The sequence below is a fragment of the Homo sapiens genome, chromosome 6 (assembly GCF_000001405.40).
Source record: "Homo sapiens chromosome 6, GRCh38.p14 Primary Assembly".
Taxonomy (NCBI): Eukaryota; Metazoa; Chordata; class Mammalia; order Primates; family Hominidae; genus Homo; species Homo sapiens.
Window position 1 is genome coordinate 31833071 of NC_000006.12, and position 14462 is coordinate 31847532.

At 49.6% G+C, this 14462-nt stretch overlaps 1 long non-coding RNA gene and 2 other non-coding genes across 11 annotated transcripts, besides 1 other annotated feature; all 3 read left to right on the plus strand.

Moving 5' to 3' along the window:
• Window positions 983–1681: an enhancer, noted in NCBI's record as "H3K27ac hESC enhancer chr6:31801830-31802528 (GRCh37/hg19 assembly coordinates)". NCBI's record gives its function as "activates a minimal SCP1, AML or CMV promoter by ChIP-STARR-seq in naive H9 embryonic stem cells {active_cell/tissue: H9 hESC(naive)}" and the evidence as "EXISTENCE:reporter gene assay evidence [ECO:0000049][PMID:30033119]".
• Window positions 1846–6691, plus strand: SNHG32 (small nucleolar RNA host gene 32). Of its 9 annotated transcripts, none has more exons than NR_160946.1 (5): window positions 1846–2130; window positions 2341–2381; window positions 3343–3447; window positions 4166–4365; window positions 6473–6691. It is a non-coding gene; the product is annotated as a small nucleolar RNA host gene 32 (long non-coding RNA). The 9 variants fall into 9 exon arrangements; NR_160949.1 differs by having other exon boundaries at window positions 3354–3447; NR_160951.1 differs by having other exon boundaries at window positions 1846–1987; window positions 3354–3447.
• Window positions 2193–2256, plus strand: SNORD48 (small nucleolar RNA, C/D box 48). The gene is given in 1 exon segment (NR_002745.1): window positions 2193–2256. It is a non-coding gene; the product is annotated as a small nucleolar RNA, C/D box 48 (small nucleolar RNA).
• On the plus strand, window positions 4006–4069 carry SNORD52 (small nucleolar RNA, C/D box 52). Its single transcript, NR_002742.2, has one exon. It is a non-coding gene; the product is annotated as a small nucleolar RNA, C/D box 52 (small nucleolar RNA).
• Window positions 6692–14462: the final 7771 nt, after the last annotated feature.

Consider the following 14462-nt stretch of genomic DNA (forward strand, 5'->3'; position numbering starts at 1 on the left):
TTGAGCCATGGCTCTCCACCGTAATGGAACAATAAAACGATTAAGGGATGCTAAAAAAATACAGATGCCAGGCCTCTCTCAGGCCAATTCAGAATCTCAAAGAGGGCAGTGTAGACATTTAAAGCTGCCCAGGTGTTTGTAATTTGCAGCCAATGTGGAGAAAACCACTGAACTGGGCTGGCCACGGTGGCTCACGCCTGTAATCCCAGCACTTTGGGAGGCCGAGGTGGGAGGATCACTGAGGTTCACCAGTTCAAAACCAGCCTGGGCCAACATGGTGAAAACCCCTGTCTCTACTAAAAATATATAAAATTAACTGGGTGTGGTGGCAGATGCCTGTAATCTCAGCTACTCAGGAGGCTGAGGCAAGAGAATCACTTGAACCCGGGAGGCAGAGGTTGTAGTAAGCCGAGATCATGCCACTGCACTCCAATCTGGGTAACAGAGCAAGACCCTATCTCAAAAAAAAAAAAAAAGAAAAAGAAAAAAAAAAAAAGGAAGAGGCCAGGCTCGGTGGCTCACACCTATAATCCTGGCACTTTGTGGAGGCCTAGGCAGGCAAATCACCTGAAGTCAGGAGTTCGAGACCAGCCTGGCTTACATGGTGAAACCCTGACTCTACTAAAAATATAAAAATTAGCCAGGCATGGTTGTGTGCACCTGTAATCCTTGCTACTTCGGAGGCTGAGGCAGGAAAATCGCTTGAACCGAGGAAGCGGAGGTTGCAGTGAGCCGAGATCCCGCCACTGCTCTCCAGCCTGGGCAACAGAGTCAGACTCCGTCTCAAAAAAGAAAAAGATACCAACACACACAACACACATCACCAAACATCATACGCGTTTATAAATGGGGGCGATAGGAAAGGGTCCAGAAAGGATTTGAAATGACTTATGAGTTTCAATAATTTTTTTTTTTTTGAGACAGAGTCTCGCCCTGTCGCCCAGGCTGGAGTGCAGTGGCGCAATCTCGGCTCACTGCAAGCTCGGCGTCCTGGGTTCACGCCATTTTCCTGCCTCAGCCTCCCGAGTAGCTGGGACTACAGGCGCCGCCACCACACTCTGCTAATTTTTTTTTAGTAGAGACGGGGTTTCACCGTGTTAGCCAGGATGGTCTCGATCTCCTGACCTCGTGATCCACCTGCCTCGGCCTCTCAAAGTGCTGGGATTACAGGCGTGAGCCACCGCGCCCGGCCTAATTTTTAAATAAATAGAGACGGGGGTTGGGTGTCACTATTTGCCCAGGCTGGTCCCGAACTCCGGGCCTCAAATGATCCTCTGCCTGGGCCTGTCCAAAGTGTTGAGATTACAGGCGTGACCTATTACGTCCGACCTGCCTTTTGGGTTTTTGGTTTTTGTTTTGTTTTGTTTAATTGAAGGTTAGGGTGCCTGACAGTCTGCGGGATCGAACTGGGAGGCAAATTCAGATTTCGCTGGGGGAACGGAGTGCGAAGTGTCAGGGTAGCTGGACGCTAAACTGGCGCAGCTGCGCGCGCCCGCGCGCGCGCGGGAAGAGTCCCAGGGTCATTAACGGACCATGGGCTGCTGGGAAACGGCTTAGGAGCAGCACCCGGCTGGCGCTGGCCGGCCGGCGCCGGGGACTTTCTTCCGCCTGGCCAGACAGATCCCTGTTTTTTGTTTTTCAAAATTCAGAAAGCATCTCCGAATATTTGCCCAGAGGAGTGTGAAACATACTTTCCTGGTCTTTCTTTCACTTTGTTTTATTTCTGTGTGGACAAACAATGGGGAAAATGCCGCGCGTCTAGCCAGGCAGATAAGAAAACAACTATACCCGTCAGGCCCCCAACCCGGCGCCGCCATAAATGGCCCCGGCCTCGCCATTTTAGTTCTTTTTGCGAAGTGGGCTCGTGGGTTGGCAGTATGAGAGTTGTAATGGCCCGACTGTTGAGTGAGGGGGAGCAGGGGATCCCAACGGCTTGCGCTGCCTTTGCGCAGCAGCCGGCGGGCGGCCACGTCGCGGCCTGGCTGGGGTAGGAGAGGGCGGTCCCCAGTGCAGTTGGGTGAACTACCGTTGCACACTGGAGTTTCTGGTGTCTTTGCTTGGAACTGACCTAGCTCGTGGCAGGGGGAACTCGGCTAGCGGCCCCACAGCCCCTGCTGACTCAAAACAACTGTGAGTGGGGTTGGGCGAGTGATTGCAAAATGGGGGTGGCGGTCGCCCGGGGATAGGAAGGGAGTGATGATGACCCCAGGTAACTCTTGAGTGTGTCGCTGATGCCATCACCGCAGCGCTCTGACCGCCCCCTCGGTCCAGCATTTCTCAGGCTCAACGAGTTCATGGCCAAGATTCCTAATCTTTTGTTCTGTTTCATTTCCCCGTTAGGAGTTGTAAGACGTTCATCGCCGTGTTATCCTTGAGTAAAGGTGAGTATTAGGTGCGAGAGCCTTTTGAATGCCTCTTCGGAAAGCTTTGTTCCCAAGCAAGCTTTCGTTCATGGGCATTATGCGCCTCCCTGCCCTTTTTTTTTTTTTTTTTTTTGAGACAGTCTCGCCTTGTCACCCAGGCTGAAGTGCGGTGGCACGATCTCACTGCAACCTGCGCCTTCTGGGATCAAGCGATTCTCCTGCCTCAGCCTCCCGATTAGCTGGGATTACAGGCGCATGCCACCAAGCCTGGCTAATTTTTTGTATTTTTTAATAGATAAGGGGTTTCACTGTGTTAGCCAGGATGGTCTCGATCTGCTGACCTCGTGATCCGCCCCTCTCGGCCTCCCAAAGTGCTGGGATTACAGGCGTGAGCCACCGCGCCCGGCCTTTTTTTTTTTTTTTTTTTAAGACAGCCTCCCTGTCACCCTGGCTGGAATGCAGTGGCAAGAACACAATTCAGTGCGGCCTTCAACTCCCGGGTTTAACCGATTCTCCCACCTTAGCCAATTTTTTCCTTTTTTTTTTTTTTTTTTTGAGATGGAGTCTTGATCTTGTTGCCCGGGCTGGCAATGGTACGATCTCCCTGCAACCTCTGCCTCCCGGGTTCAATCGATTGTCCTGCCTCAGCCTGCCGATTAGCTGGGACTACAGGCCCGCGCCACCACACTCGGCTAATTTTTCTGTTTTTAGTAGAAGGGGTTTCACCATGTTGGCCAGGATGGTCTCCATCTCCTGACCTCGTGAGCCGCTGTGCCCGGCCACTTTTTCTTTTTTGAGCTATAATCCATGTACCACAGGTGGTGACTTCCATTTGTTTGTTTTTGCTATTTTGTTTTTGAGACAGGGCGCAATGCCAGGATCTCCCTGCAACATCCACCGTCAGGGCTCAAGTGGTCTTTCCACCTCAGCTTCCTGGGACTGCAGGCACGTGCTACCACCACGCCTGGCTAATTTTTAGTTTTTTTACAGAAGCGGGCTTTTGCCATGTTGTCCAGGCTGGTCTCTACTCCTGGGCTCAAGCAGTCCTCCTGCCTCAGTCTCCCAAAGTGCTGGAATTACAGGGGTGAGTTGCTGCGTCTGGTGTTGGTGACTTTCTAGAGATTACTTTTTGGTTTACATCATTTTCCTTGTGACTATTTTTACTTTTTTGGGGGGCGGGGGGACAGTCTTACTCTTTTTAGTTTACATCATTTTCCTTGTGACTATTCTATTTTTACTTTTTTAGGGGGCGGGGGGACATGAGTCTCACTCATGTTGGTCAGGCTGGTCTCAAACTCCTGACCTCAGTTGATCCACGCCCTTCGGCCTCCCAAAGTGCCGGGATTACAGGCGTGAGCCACTTTGCCCGGCCTGTATTTTTACGTTTTAATAAATCCCCGTATTTTTGTTAAAGGCTGGGTAACCTGACTCCTCCCCTCATTTCTACTGCAAAATAGGAGTACACTGGGGCCTCCCAGTGGAGCTGTTCTCTGCTGTTTTAAATTACTTTCTACTCCTCCCTTTCTAACGTCCACTCCTGGACTCATTTGTTAGATCAATATATACTGGGACTGTTGTGTTTTCTTTGAGTGTACTAGATCTCTTTCCAGAAGAGCTTCCCTTGATCCAGATCTCCCTAATTGGGAATGATGATTTCACAGACTAGAGTCTCCGATGCTGGTCATGATGTCAAAACTAAGTTCTGACTCATTTAGGGAACTGGATACTTGGGTCTCCAGAAGGGCCAATGGGAGGGCCATAATTCTGTTTATTTTCAAATTGTCTTGTTTTCACCTTGTTAGAATGAACTCTGGAAGCCCAGCCAGGGACAATGCACCTTCACAGAGATTCTGCACTAATCTGAGTGAAGGTCTAAGGTTTGGAATCTCCCCCTCATGGAGAGAAGCTTTGTATGGCTGTCATGCTTAGACAGTGATTCCTGCAACTTGACCTTCAGGCTGGGAGAGGTGGAGAGCCATGCCTGTTCTCCTTCCTTGCTATGGTGAGTATCTTTTGTTTTGGCTCTCAGTGGGAGTGGTAATGATGATCTGGTTGGACAAGAGTCTCTGAGCTTTTCTCTGAGGATCTTTGAACCCACCTGATCCACCTTCATCCTGCCGGCAATCTCCTGTAATTCATGTTTTTATGGCCAGTTACTTACATGATGAGGTTTAATTGGCTATGGTTCTGCAGGATGTACAGGAAGCATGGTGTTGGCATCTGCTCAGCCTCTGGTGGGGGCCTCAGGAAACTATATTGCATAAGGTACAGAGGGAAGCAGGGATGTAGCATGGCCAGAGCAGCAGCAAAGGCAGGGAGGTGCCACACATTTTTAATAAATTGATCTCTAGAGAACTGACTGTCATGAGCACAGCATCAAGGAGGATGGTGCTTAAGCCATTCATGAGGAATCCACCCCAGTGATCCATTACAATTCAATATGAGATTTGGTGGGGAGACAGATCTAAACTGTATTACAGGGTCTCACTTTGTGCACAGGCTGGTCTTCAACTCCTGCCTCAGTGAGCCACTGTGCCCCACCCCAACATGTTTTGTGTGTTTTTTGAGACTGTCTTGCTCTGTCATCCAGGCTGGAGTGCAGTGGTACACTCTTGGCTTACTGCAGCCTCTGCCTCCCAGGTTCAAGCAATTCTGCCTCAGCCTCCCAAGTAGCTGGGATTACAGGCATGCGCCACCAGTCCCGGCTAATTTTTGTATTTTTAGTAGAGGGTTTCACCATGTTGGCCGGGCTGGTCTTGAACTCCTGACCAAGAGATCTGCCCACCTTGACCTCCCAAAGTGCTCAGATTACAGGTATTAGCCACCGAGCCCAGCCCGCAACATGTATTTTTATTTATTTTTTGTTTGAGATGGAGTTTCACTTTGTCGCCCAGGCTGGAGTGCAGTGGCACATTCTCAGCTCATTGTAACCTCAGCCTCCCGAGTACTTGGGATTACAGGCATGCGCCACCATGCCCAGCTAATTTTGTATTTTTAGTAGAGATGGGAGTTTTCACCATGTTGGTCTTGAACTCCTGATCTCAGGTGATTTGCCCGCCCTAGCCTCCCAAAGTGCTGGGATTACAGGTGTGAGCCATAGCATCTGACAATTTTATTCTATTTTTTGAGACAGTCTTGCTCTGTCACCCAGGCTGGAGTGCAGTGGTGCAGTCACAGCTCACTGCAGCCTCAACCTCCTGGGTGGAAGCTCACCTCTCACCTCACCCTTGGAGTAGCTAATGACTTACAGGCATGCACCACTATCCCCGGCTAATTTTTTTTTTTTTAAATTTGAGGATGGGTGTGGTGGCTCATGCCTGTAATCTCAGCTCTTTGGGAGGCCAAGGTGGGTGGATCACCTGAGGTCAGGAGTTGAAGACCAGCCTGGCCAACACCGTGAAACCCTGTCTACTAAAAATACAAAAATTAGCTGGGCATGGGTGGCGGGCGCCTGTAATTCCAGCTACTTGGGAGGCTGAGGCAGAAGAATCGCTTGAACCTGGGAGGTGGAGGTTGCAGTGAGCTGATATGGCGCCATTGCACTGCGCCATTGCACTTCACCCTGGGCAACAGAGCAAGACTCCATCTCAAAAAAAAAAAAGCTGTAGATAATGGGGTCCCACTATGGTGCTCAAGCTGGTCTGAAACTCCTGGGCTCAAGTGATTGTCTTGCCTTGGCCTCCGAACACTTCTGCCTTGGCCTCCCAAAGTGTTGGAATTGACAGGCGTGAGCTGCCATGCCCAGCCTCAGCTTTTATTGTAGATTTAGGGGGTATATGTGCAGTTTTGTTACTTGGGTTCATTGTATGATGCTGAGGTTTGGGGTAGGATTATCCCCATCACCCAGGTAGTGGGCATAGTACCCAATAGTTATTAAACCTTTGCCCCATTTCCTCTCCCCAGTGTCTGTTGCCATCTTTATGTCCATGTATACTCAACATTTAGCTCCCACTTACAAGTAAGAACATATGGTATCTGGTTTTCTGTTCTGTATTGATTCACTGAGGATCATGGCCTGTGGTTGCATCCATGTTGCTGCAAAGGATATGAAATCGTTTTTTTATTGGTGCATCTCATATGGTTCTAATGTTCTTTTTATTATTTTTCAGGAATTTGCTGACACAATATCTTCCGCCTGGTGCTGGGCATATCCTAAGAACTTACAACTTTCCTGTATTATCCTGTGTGAGCAGCTGTCACCTTATTGGGGGAAAAATGCCTGAAAATTAGGGGGCACTTCAAGTAGATAGCTTCTATTTCCTATATTTGTCTTATATACAAGTATTTGCTTTTATCAAAATAATTCCAATAAAGCATTTTAAAGTAAAGAAGACGTGGTTTGGTCTCAGAACAATGGTACAAAAAGATTAAGGGGGCTGGGCGCAAGTTGCTCATGCCTATAATCCCAGCACTTTGGGAGGCCGAGGTGGGTGGATCACAAGGTCAGGAGATTGAGATTATCCTGGCCAACATGGTGAAACCCTGTCTCTACTAAAACAAAAAAAGGACAAAAATTAGCTGGGTGTGGTGATACATACCTGTAATCCCAACTACTCGGGAGGCTGAGGCAGGAGAATGGCTTTGAACCAGGGAGTCCAAGGTTGCAGTGAGCCGAGATCGTGCCACTGCACTTCCAGCCTGGCGACAGGCTCCGTCTTAAAAAAAAAGAAAGATGAAGCCCCGTGAGCTAGTTAATGCTGAGTTAGGCTTAACTCTTAAGCCTAATATTAGAGATTCTTGGTTGGGTGACATAGTATTATGTATAATACACTAGACTTTTGACAATCATTTGAGATGGTTTTTCTGGCAGGGGAGGAGGTGGAGTTTCGCCCTTGTTGCCCATGCTGGAGTGCAATGGCAAAATCTCGCCTCACTGCAACCTCTGCATCTTGAGTTCAAGTGATTCTCCTGCCTCACAGCCTCCTGAGTAGCTGGGATTACAGGCGCCTGGCACCTCCCCTAGCTATTTTTTGTACTTTTAGTAGAGACAAGGTTTCACCATGTTGGCCAGGCTGGTCTCGAACTCCTGACCTCAGGTGATCCACCCACCTCAAGCCATCCGCCTGCCTCAGCCTCCCAAAGTGTTGGGATTACAGGTGTGAGCCACTGTGCCTGGCCGAATTTGAGTTTTTTTTAATGATTGTAAAGTGTCCACGGCTACCCAATTAGCCATCTTTTTTTTTTTGAGACAGTTGCACCTTGTCACCTGGGCTGGAATATAGTGGCGCAGTTTGGGTTCACTGCAGCCTCTCCCCGGGTTCAAGTGATTTTCGTGCCTCAGCGTTCCCAGTAGCTGGGGCTACAGCTGCACACCTTATTTTTGTATTTTTTGAAGAGATAGGGGTTTCACCATATTGGCCAGGGTGGTTTCGAACTCCTGACCTCAAATGATGTGCCTGGCCAGAACATTACCAATAACTTTGAAACAAACCTGTCTGATTCAATTTCTCTTTTTCTTCTTCCTACTTGGAGAATTAACTGGGTATATCATCCTCTGGCTTTTCTTAATAGTTTTACTGAGTGCATTGCTAAACAATATCATTTTAATTTTGCGTATCTTTTGAACTTTGTAAAAATGGAATGATTCACCAGACACGAGACAACATTTTTCTTTTTTGGGGGGATGGAGTCTTGCACTGTCGCCCAGGCTAGAGTGCAGTGGCGTGATCTCGACTCATACTGCAATCTCTGCCTCCCAGGTTCACCCCATTATTCTGCCTGGGCCTCCCAAATCACTGGGACTACAGGTGCCCGCCACCATGCCCCGCTAATTTTTTGTATTTCTAGTAGAGATGGGGGTTTCACCATGTTGGCCAGGCTGGTCTCGAACTCCCGACCTTGTGATTTGCCCACCTTGGACTCCCAAAGTGCTGGCATTACAAACAGCCACCATGCTGGCCCATTTTTCATTTTTCAAAAAGAATAAATCTTCATGTGTTCTACTGCAACTTTCTGCTTTTCTGGGGGGCGGGGGGGACAGAGTCTTGCTCTGTCGCCAGGCTGGAGTGCAGTGGCGCGATAGCTCACTGCAACCTCCACCTCCCAGGTTCAAGCGATTTCTCCTCCCTCAGCCTCCCGAGTAGCTGGGACCACAGGCGCGCACCACTATGCCCAGCTAATTTTTGTATTTTTACTAGAGACGGGGTTTCACCACATTGGCCAGGGTGGTCTCCAACTCCTAGCCTCACCGTCCGCCCGCCTCGGCCTCCTGAAATGCTGGGATTACAGGCGTGAGCCACCACGCCTGACATTTACTTATTTCATTTATCTTTGAGATGGAGTCTCGCTCTGTCGCCCAGGCAGCATGTAGTGGCGCGATCTCGGCTCACTGCAAGCTCTGCCTCCCAGGTTCAAGCCATTCTCCTGCCTCAGCCTCCGGAGTAGCTGGGACTACAGGTGCCCGGCTAATTTTTTTGTATTTTTAGTAGAGACGGGTTTCATTGTGTTAGCCAGGATGGTCTTGGATCTCCTGACCTCGTGATCCGCCCGCCTTGGCCTCCCAAAGTGCAGGGATTACAGGCGTGAGCCATCGCGCCCAGCCTTTTTTGTTTTTTGAGACATAGTTTTGCTCTTGTTCCCCAGGCTGGAGTGCAGTGGCACTATCTTGGCTCACCACAACCTCTGCCTCCTGGGTTCAAGCGATTCTCCTGCCTTATCCTGCCAAGTAGCTGGGATTATATGCCACCACGCCCGGCTAATTTTGTATTTTTATTAGAGATGGGGTTTCTCCATGTTGGTCGGGCTGGTCTCCCGAACTTAGGTGATCCGCCAGCCTCAGCCTCTGAAAGTGAAAGTGCTGTGATTCTAGGCCAGAGCCACCACACCTGGCCTGCAACTTTTGTTGTTGTTCATGTATTTTCCTGTAGTTCATTTGGAGTCCACCCTTCCATACACATTTGTGGACATAAAAAACTTCAGGGCCTGGCATGGTGGCTCATGCCCGTAATCGCAGCTGAGGCGGACAGATCACCTGAGGTCAGGGGTTAGGGACCAGCCTGGCCAACATGGTGAAACCCCATCTCTACTAAAAAAAATATAAAAAAGGGCCAGGCTCACGCCTGTAATCCCAGCACTTTAGGAGGCCGAGGCGGGCAGATCACGAGGTCAGGAGATCAAGACCATCCTGTCTAACACGGTGAAACCCCGTCTCTACTAAAAATACAAAAATCAGCCGGGCGTGGTGGCGGGCGCCTGTAGTCCCAGCTCCTCGGGAGGCTGAGGCAGGAGAATGGCGTGAACCCGGGAGGTGGAGCTTGCAGTGAGTCAAGATCCCGCCACTGCACTCCAGCCTGCGCGACAGAGTGAGACTCCATCTCAATTAGGGCCAGGCATGGTGGCTCACGCCTGTAATCCCAGCACTTTGGGAGGCCGAGGCAGGTGGATCACCTAAGGTCAGGAGTTCGAGACCAGCCTGGCCAACATGGCAAAACCCTGTCTCTACTAAAAATACAAAAATAAATTAGCCAGGTGTGGTGGCACACGCCTGTAATCCCAGCGACTCGGGAGGCTGACGCAGGAGAATCACTTGAACCTGGCAGGCGGAGGTTGCAGTGAGCTGAGATCATGCCATTATGCTCTAGCCTGGGCAACAAGAATGAAACTACATCTCAAAATACATACATACATACATACAGTTAACCGAGCATGGTGGCATGCGCCTGTAAGCCCAGCTACTTGGGAGGCTGAGGCATGAGAATCGCTTGAACCTGAGAGGTGGAGGTTGCAGTGAACCAAGATGGCACCACTGCACTCCAGCCTGGGTGACAGAGTGAGACTGTTTCAAAAAGATTCAGGAGCCAGACTGAACACTTACTGCTAGGTTAACTTTGGCTAAGTTCCTCAGTGATTCCCATAACAATTTCCTTGTTTGTAAATAGATAACAGAGTTCCTACCCACCCTCTTTTTTTTTTTTTTCTTCAGTAGTAGAGATAGGGTTTCACCATGTTGGCCAGGCTGGTCTCAAACTCCTGACTCCAGGTGATTCACCCACCTCCCAAAGTGTTGGGATTACAGGTGTGAGCCACTGCACCGGGCCTACCCTCTCTTTTTTTTGAGACAGGGTGTCACTGTTGCCCAGGCTCGAGTACAGTGGCAAGATTACAGCTCACTACAGCCTTGACCTCCTGGGCTCAAGTGATCCTCCCACCTCAGCCTCTGAAGTAGCTGGAACTACAGGTGCTCCATCATGCCCAGCTAATTTTTTTTTCTTTTTGAAAGAGAATCTTGCTTTGTCGCCCAAGTTGGAGTGCAGTGGTGCAATCTCGGCTCACTGCAAGCTCCACCTCCTGGGTTCACACCATTCTCCTGCCTCAGCCTCCCGACTAGCTGGGACTACAGGCACCCACCACCACGGCCAGCTAATTTTTTGTATTTTTAGTAAAGATGGGGTTTCACCGTGTTAGCCAGGATGGTTTCGATCTCCTGACCTCGTGATCCACCTGCCTTGGCCTCCCAAAGTGCTGGGATTACAGGCGTGAGCTACCGTACCTGACCTTTTTTTTTTTTTTTTGAGACGGAGTCTTGCTCTGTCACCCAGGCTGGAGTGCAGTGGCGCGATCTTGGCTCACTGCAAGCTCTGCCTCTCAGGTTCACGCCATTCTCCTGCCTCAGCCTCCCGAGTAGCAGGAACTACAGGTGCTAGCCACCACGCCTGGCTAATTTTTTTGTATTTTAGGTAGAGACGAGGTTTCACCGTGTTAGCCAGGATGGTCTCGATCTCCTGACCTCATGATCTACCTGCCTCGGCCTCCCAAAGTGCTGGGATTACAGGTGAGCCACCGCGCCCAGCCATGCCCAGCTAATTTTTAAATTTTTTATACAGTGAAGTTTTCACTATATTGCCTGACTGGTGTCTAACTCCTGAAATCAAATGATCTACCTGCTTTGGCCTCCCCAAATGCTGAGATTACAAGCTTGAGCCACCAAGCCCGGCCTATCCCGTCTCTAACAAAAAAGAAGCATAGTGCGGTGGCTCACACCTGCAACCCCAGCACTGTGGGAGGCCATGGTGGGCAGATCTCTTGAACCCAGGAGTTTGAGACCAGTCTGCCTGGGCAACACGGTGAAATCCAGTTCCTACAAAAAATTTTAAAAATTAGCCGGTTGTGATGGCATGCCGTGGTTCAGCTACTTGGGAGGCTGAGATGGGAGAATTGCTTGAGCCCTGGAAGTTGAGGCTGCAGTGAGCCATGATTGTGCCACTGCACTCCAATCTGGGCAACAGAGTGAGCCTTATCTCTAAATAAATAAATGAAGAGGTAGAGTCATGCTCTGTTGCCCAGGTCTGACTTGAACTCCTGGGCTGAAGTGATCCTCCCGCCTCAGCTTCCTCAGTAGCTGGGGCAACAGGCATATGCCACCATACTCAGCTTTGTTGGTTTCATTTCTTGTCCCCAAGGGTCTCTTCTGCATTCCCCTGCCCTTTGTATGGTTCAAGTCCTCCCCTGTGTGGTGGGTGCTAATCCCAGGTTTGGGGTATAAGACTGAGCTACAGCCATGGTAAGATGGTCACGTGAACTTCTTTTCTCACACAGTGGTGATGCTGAAAGACCTCAACCCCAAAATGCTATTTTCCTCATTTCTTTTTTTTTTTTTTTGAGACGGAGTCTCGCTCTGTCGCCCAGGCTGGAGTGCAGTGGCGCGATCTCGGCTCACTGCAAGCTCCGCCTCCCGGGTTCACGCCATTCTCCTGCCTCAGCCTCCCGATTAGCTGGGAATACAGGCGTCCACCACTACACCCGGCTAATTTTTTGTATATTTAGTAGAGACGGGGTTTCACCGTGTTAGCCAGGATGGTCTCGATCTCCTGACCTCGTGATCCACCCGCCTTGGCCTCCCAAAGTGCTGGGATTACAGGCGTGAGCCACCGCCGGCCTATTTTCCTCATTTCTTTAGGCCCCATTTCCATACCAGGAGTGGAGCAACTTCAGTAATAAACAGTCCTCCTTCCCATCCTCCCAGGCTGAACTCCCCAGCTTGCAGTTACTCTAATAGCGGCTAGCCTGCTACTTCAGCTACTGTAGGCAGTGAGCCTCCTAAGGCTTGGCCTCAGCCTGTCTCCCCACAGAAATGGGAGACAAGAATCCTTGGAATCCTTACCCACTGGCCAGTGTGCTGGCCCTCCAGGTGACACCTCTACCTGCCAGTTGCTTAGGCTAGACCCTTGGAATCTGCCTGACTGCTCTCCTGTTCTCACATGCTACATCTAATTTGTCAGCAAATCATACTGTCTGTATCTTAGAAATGACACGAGGATCTGTGTCTCACACCTTTACTGCTGCTCCATCCTGGTGGGAGCCACCATTGGCTCTCACCTAGACAACTGCAACTGTCTCCTACCTGGTCTCCTGGCTTCCACTTTTGCCCGTTACAGGCTCTCTCCACACAGCAGCCAGAAGGTTCCTTCCAAATCAGGAGTCAGGTCATGTCTCCCCTCTTCTGAAGATCCTGTAACAGCTGCCATTTCACTCAGAGTAAAAGTCTCCATCTTACAAGGGCCACCCAACAAGGTCCTCCCAGTCTAGCTCTGTCAACTTTCTGACCTCATCTTCTACACCTGAGGTTAGGGGTTGGGGACCAGCCTGGCCAACATGGTGAAACCCCATTTCCACTCTGCTTCAGCCATGCTACAGAAACCCAGGAGCTGCTTGGAGCTCTTTTGTCAGTGTTCGAGGAGTAAAATTTCTACCCATTGGCCAGAGTCACAGCCGCAGGCTTTGTGGGGTACACCCAAACCTGCACCAACAGAACTCATGGATGAAATTTGCATCTTTTGGGTTGTGAGGAAATTCTAGAGCCCAGAAATAACCTTAAAAACTTTTGGGGCTGGGTGCAGTGTCTCATGCCTGTAATTCCAGCGCTTTGGGAGGCCGAAGCAGGTGGATCACTTGAGGCCAGGAGTTTGAGACCAACCTGGTCAACATGGCGAAACCCTGTCTCTACTAAAAATACAAAAATTAGCCAAGTGTGGTGGTGCACACCTGTAATCCCAGATACTCTGATGGCTGAGGCATGAGAATTGCTTGAACCCAGGAGGTGGAGGTTGCAGTGAGCCAAGATTGAACCCCTGCACTCCAGCCTGGGCAAAAGCATGAGACTCTGTCTCAAAAAAAACAAAACCAACAACTAGTGGTACGTAATGTTTACATATTAGTTGTATGTAACATTAATATATGTTTACATACTGGTAGTATGTAAGCATATGTAATGTGCCTGGCCTCTCATTTCTTATTTTTGCATGTCTGAAATATTTCTTAGTATCTTAAAAACATAGCTTGGGGGCTGGGTATGGTGACTCATGCCTGTAATCCCAGCACTTTGGGAGGCCAAGGTGGGAGGATCACCTGAGCCCAGGAGTTCGAGACCAGCCTGGGTAATATTGCAAGACACCATCTCTAAAAATAAAAACCAAAAAAAACAACAAAGATACACAATAAACAAGATAAACAGCAGACCAACTAAATGAAGAATTAGTGAGTTGGAGGGAGAAATAATCCATAATGTGGAGCAGAGAAATCAGAGGTGATATGAAAAGGAAGTTTTGAAACATGAAGGATGGAATGAGATACTCCAACTCCAGAGCTGCTTTGTTTTTGTTTTTGAGATGGGAGTCTTGCTCTGTTGCCCAGGCTGGAGTGCAGTGGCATGATCTCAGCTCACTGCAACCTACGCCTCCCAGGTTCAAGCGATGCTCCTGACTCAGCCTCCTGAGTAGCTGGGATTACAGGTGGTGCCACCACGTCTGGATAATTTTTGTATTTTTAGTAGAGACAAGGTTTCACCGTGTTGGTCAGGTTGGTCTTGAACTCCTGACCTTGTGATTCACCTGCCTCGCCCTCCCAAAGTGCTGGGATTACAGGCGTGAGCCACTGCACCCAGCCTACTTTGTTTGTTACATGGATTTGTTACCTGCAGCCAGAACAGCCACAGAGCCATCATGAGCTCTGCTGCCCAATGGCGTACAGGGGTACCTGGTTTTTAGCATCTCAGGCCCATCTGTTAGTTTGTTGATTGTAGTACTTTCTTTTCATTAGCATTCTACTTTCCCATGACTTTTTTTGGGGGGGAGTGGGGTGGACAGGGTCTCACTGTGTTGTCCA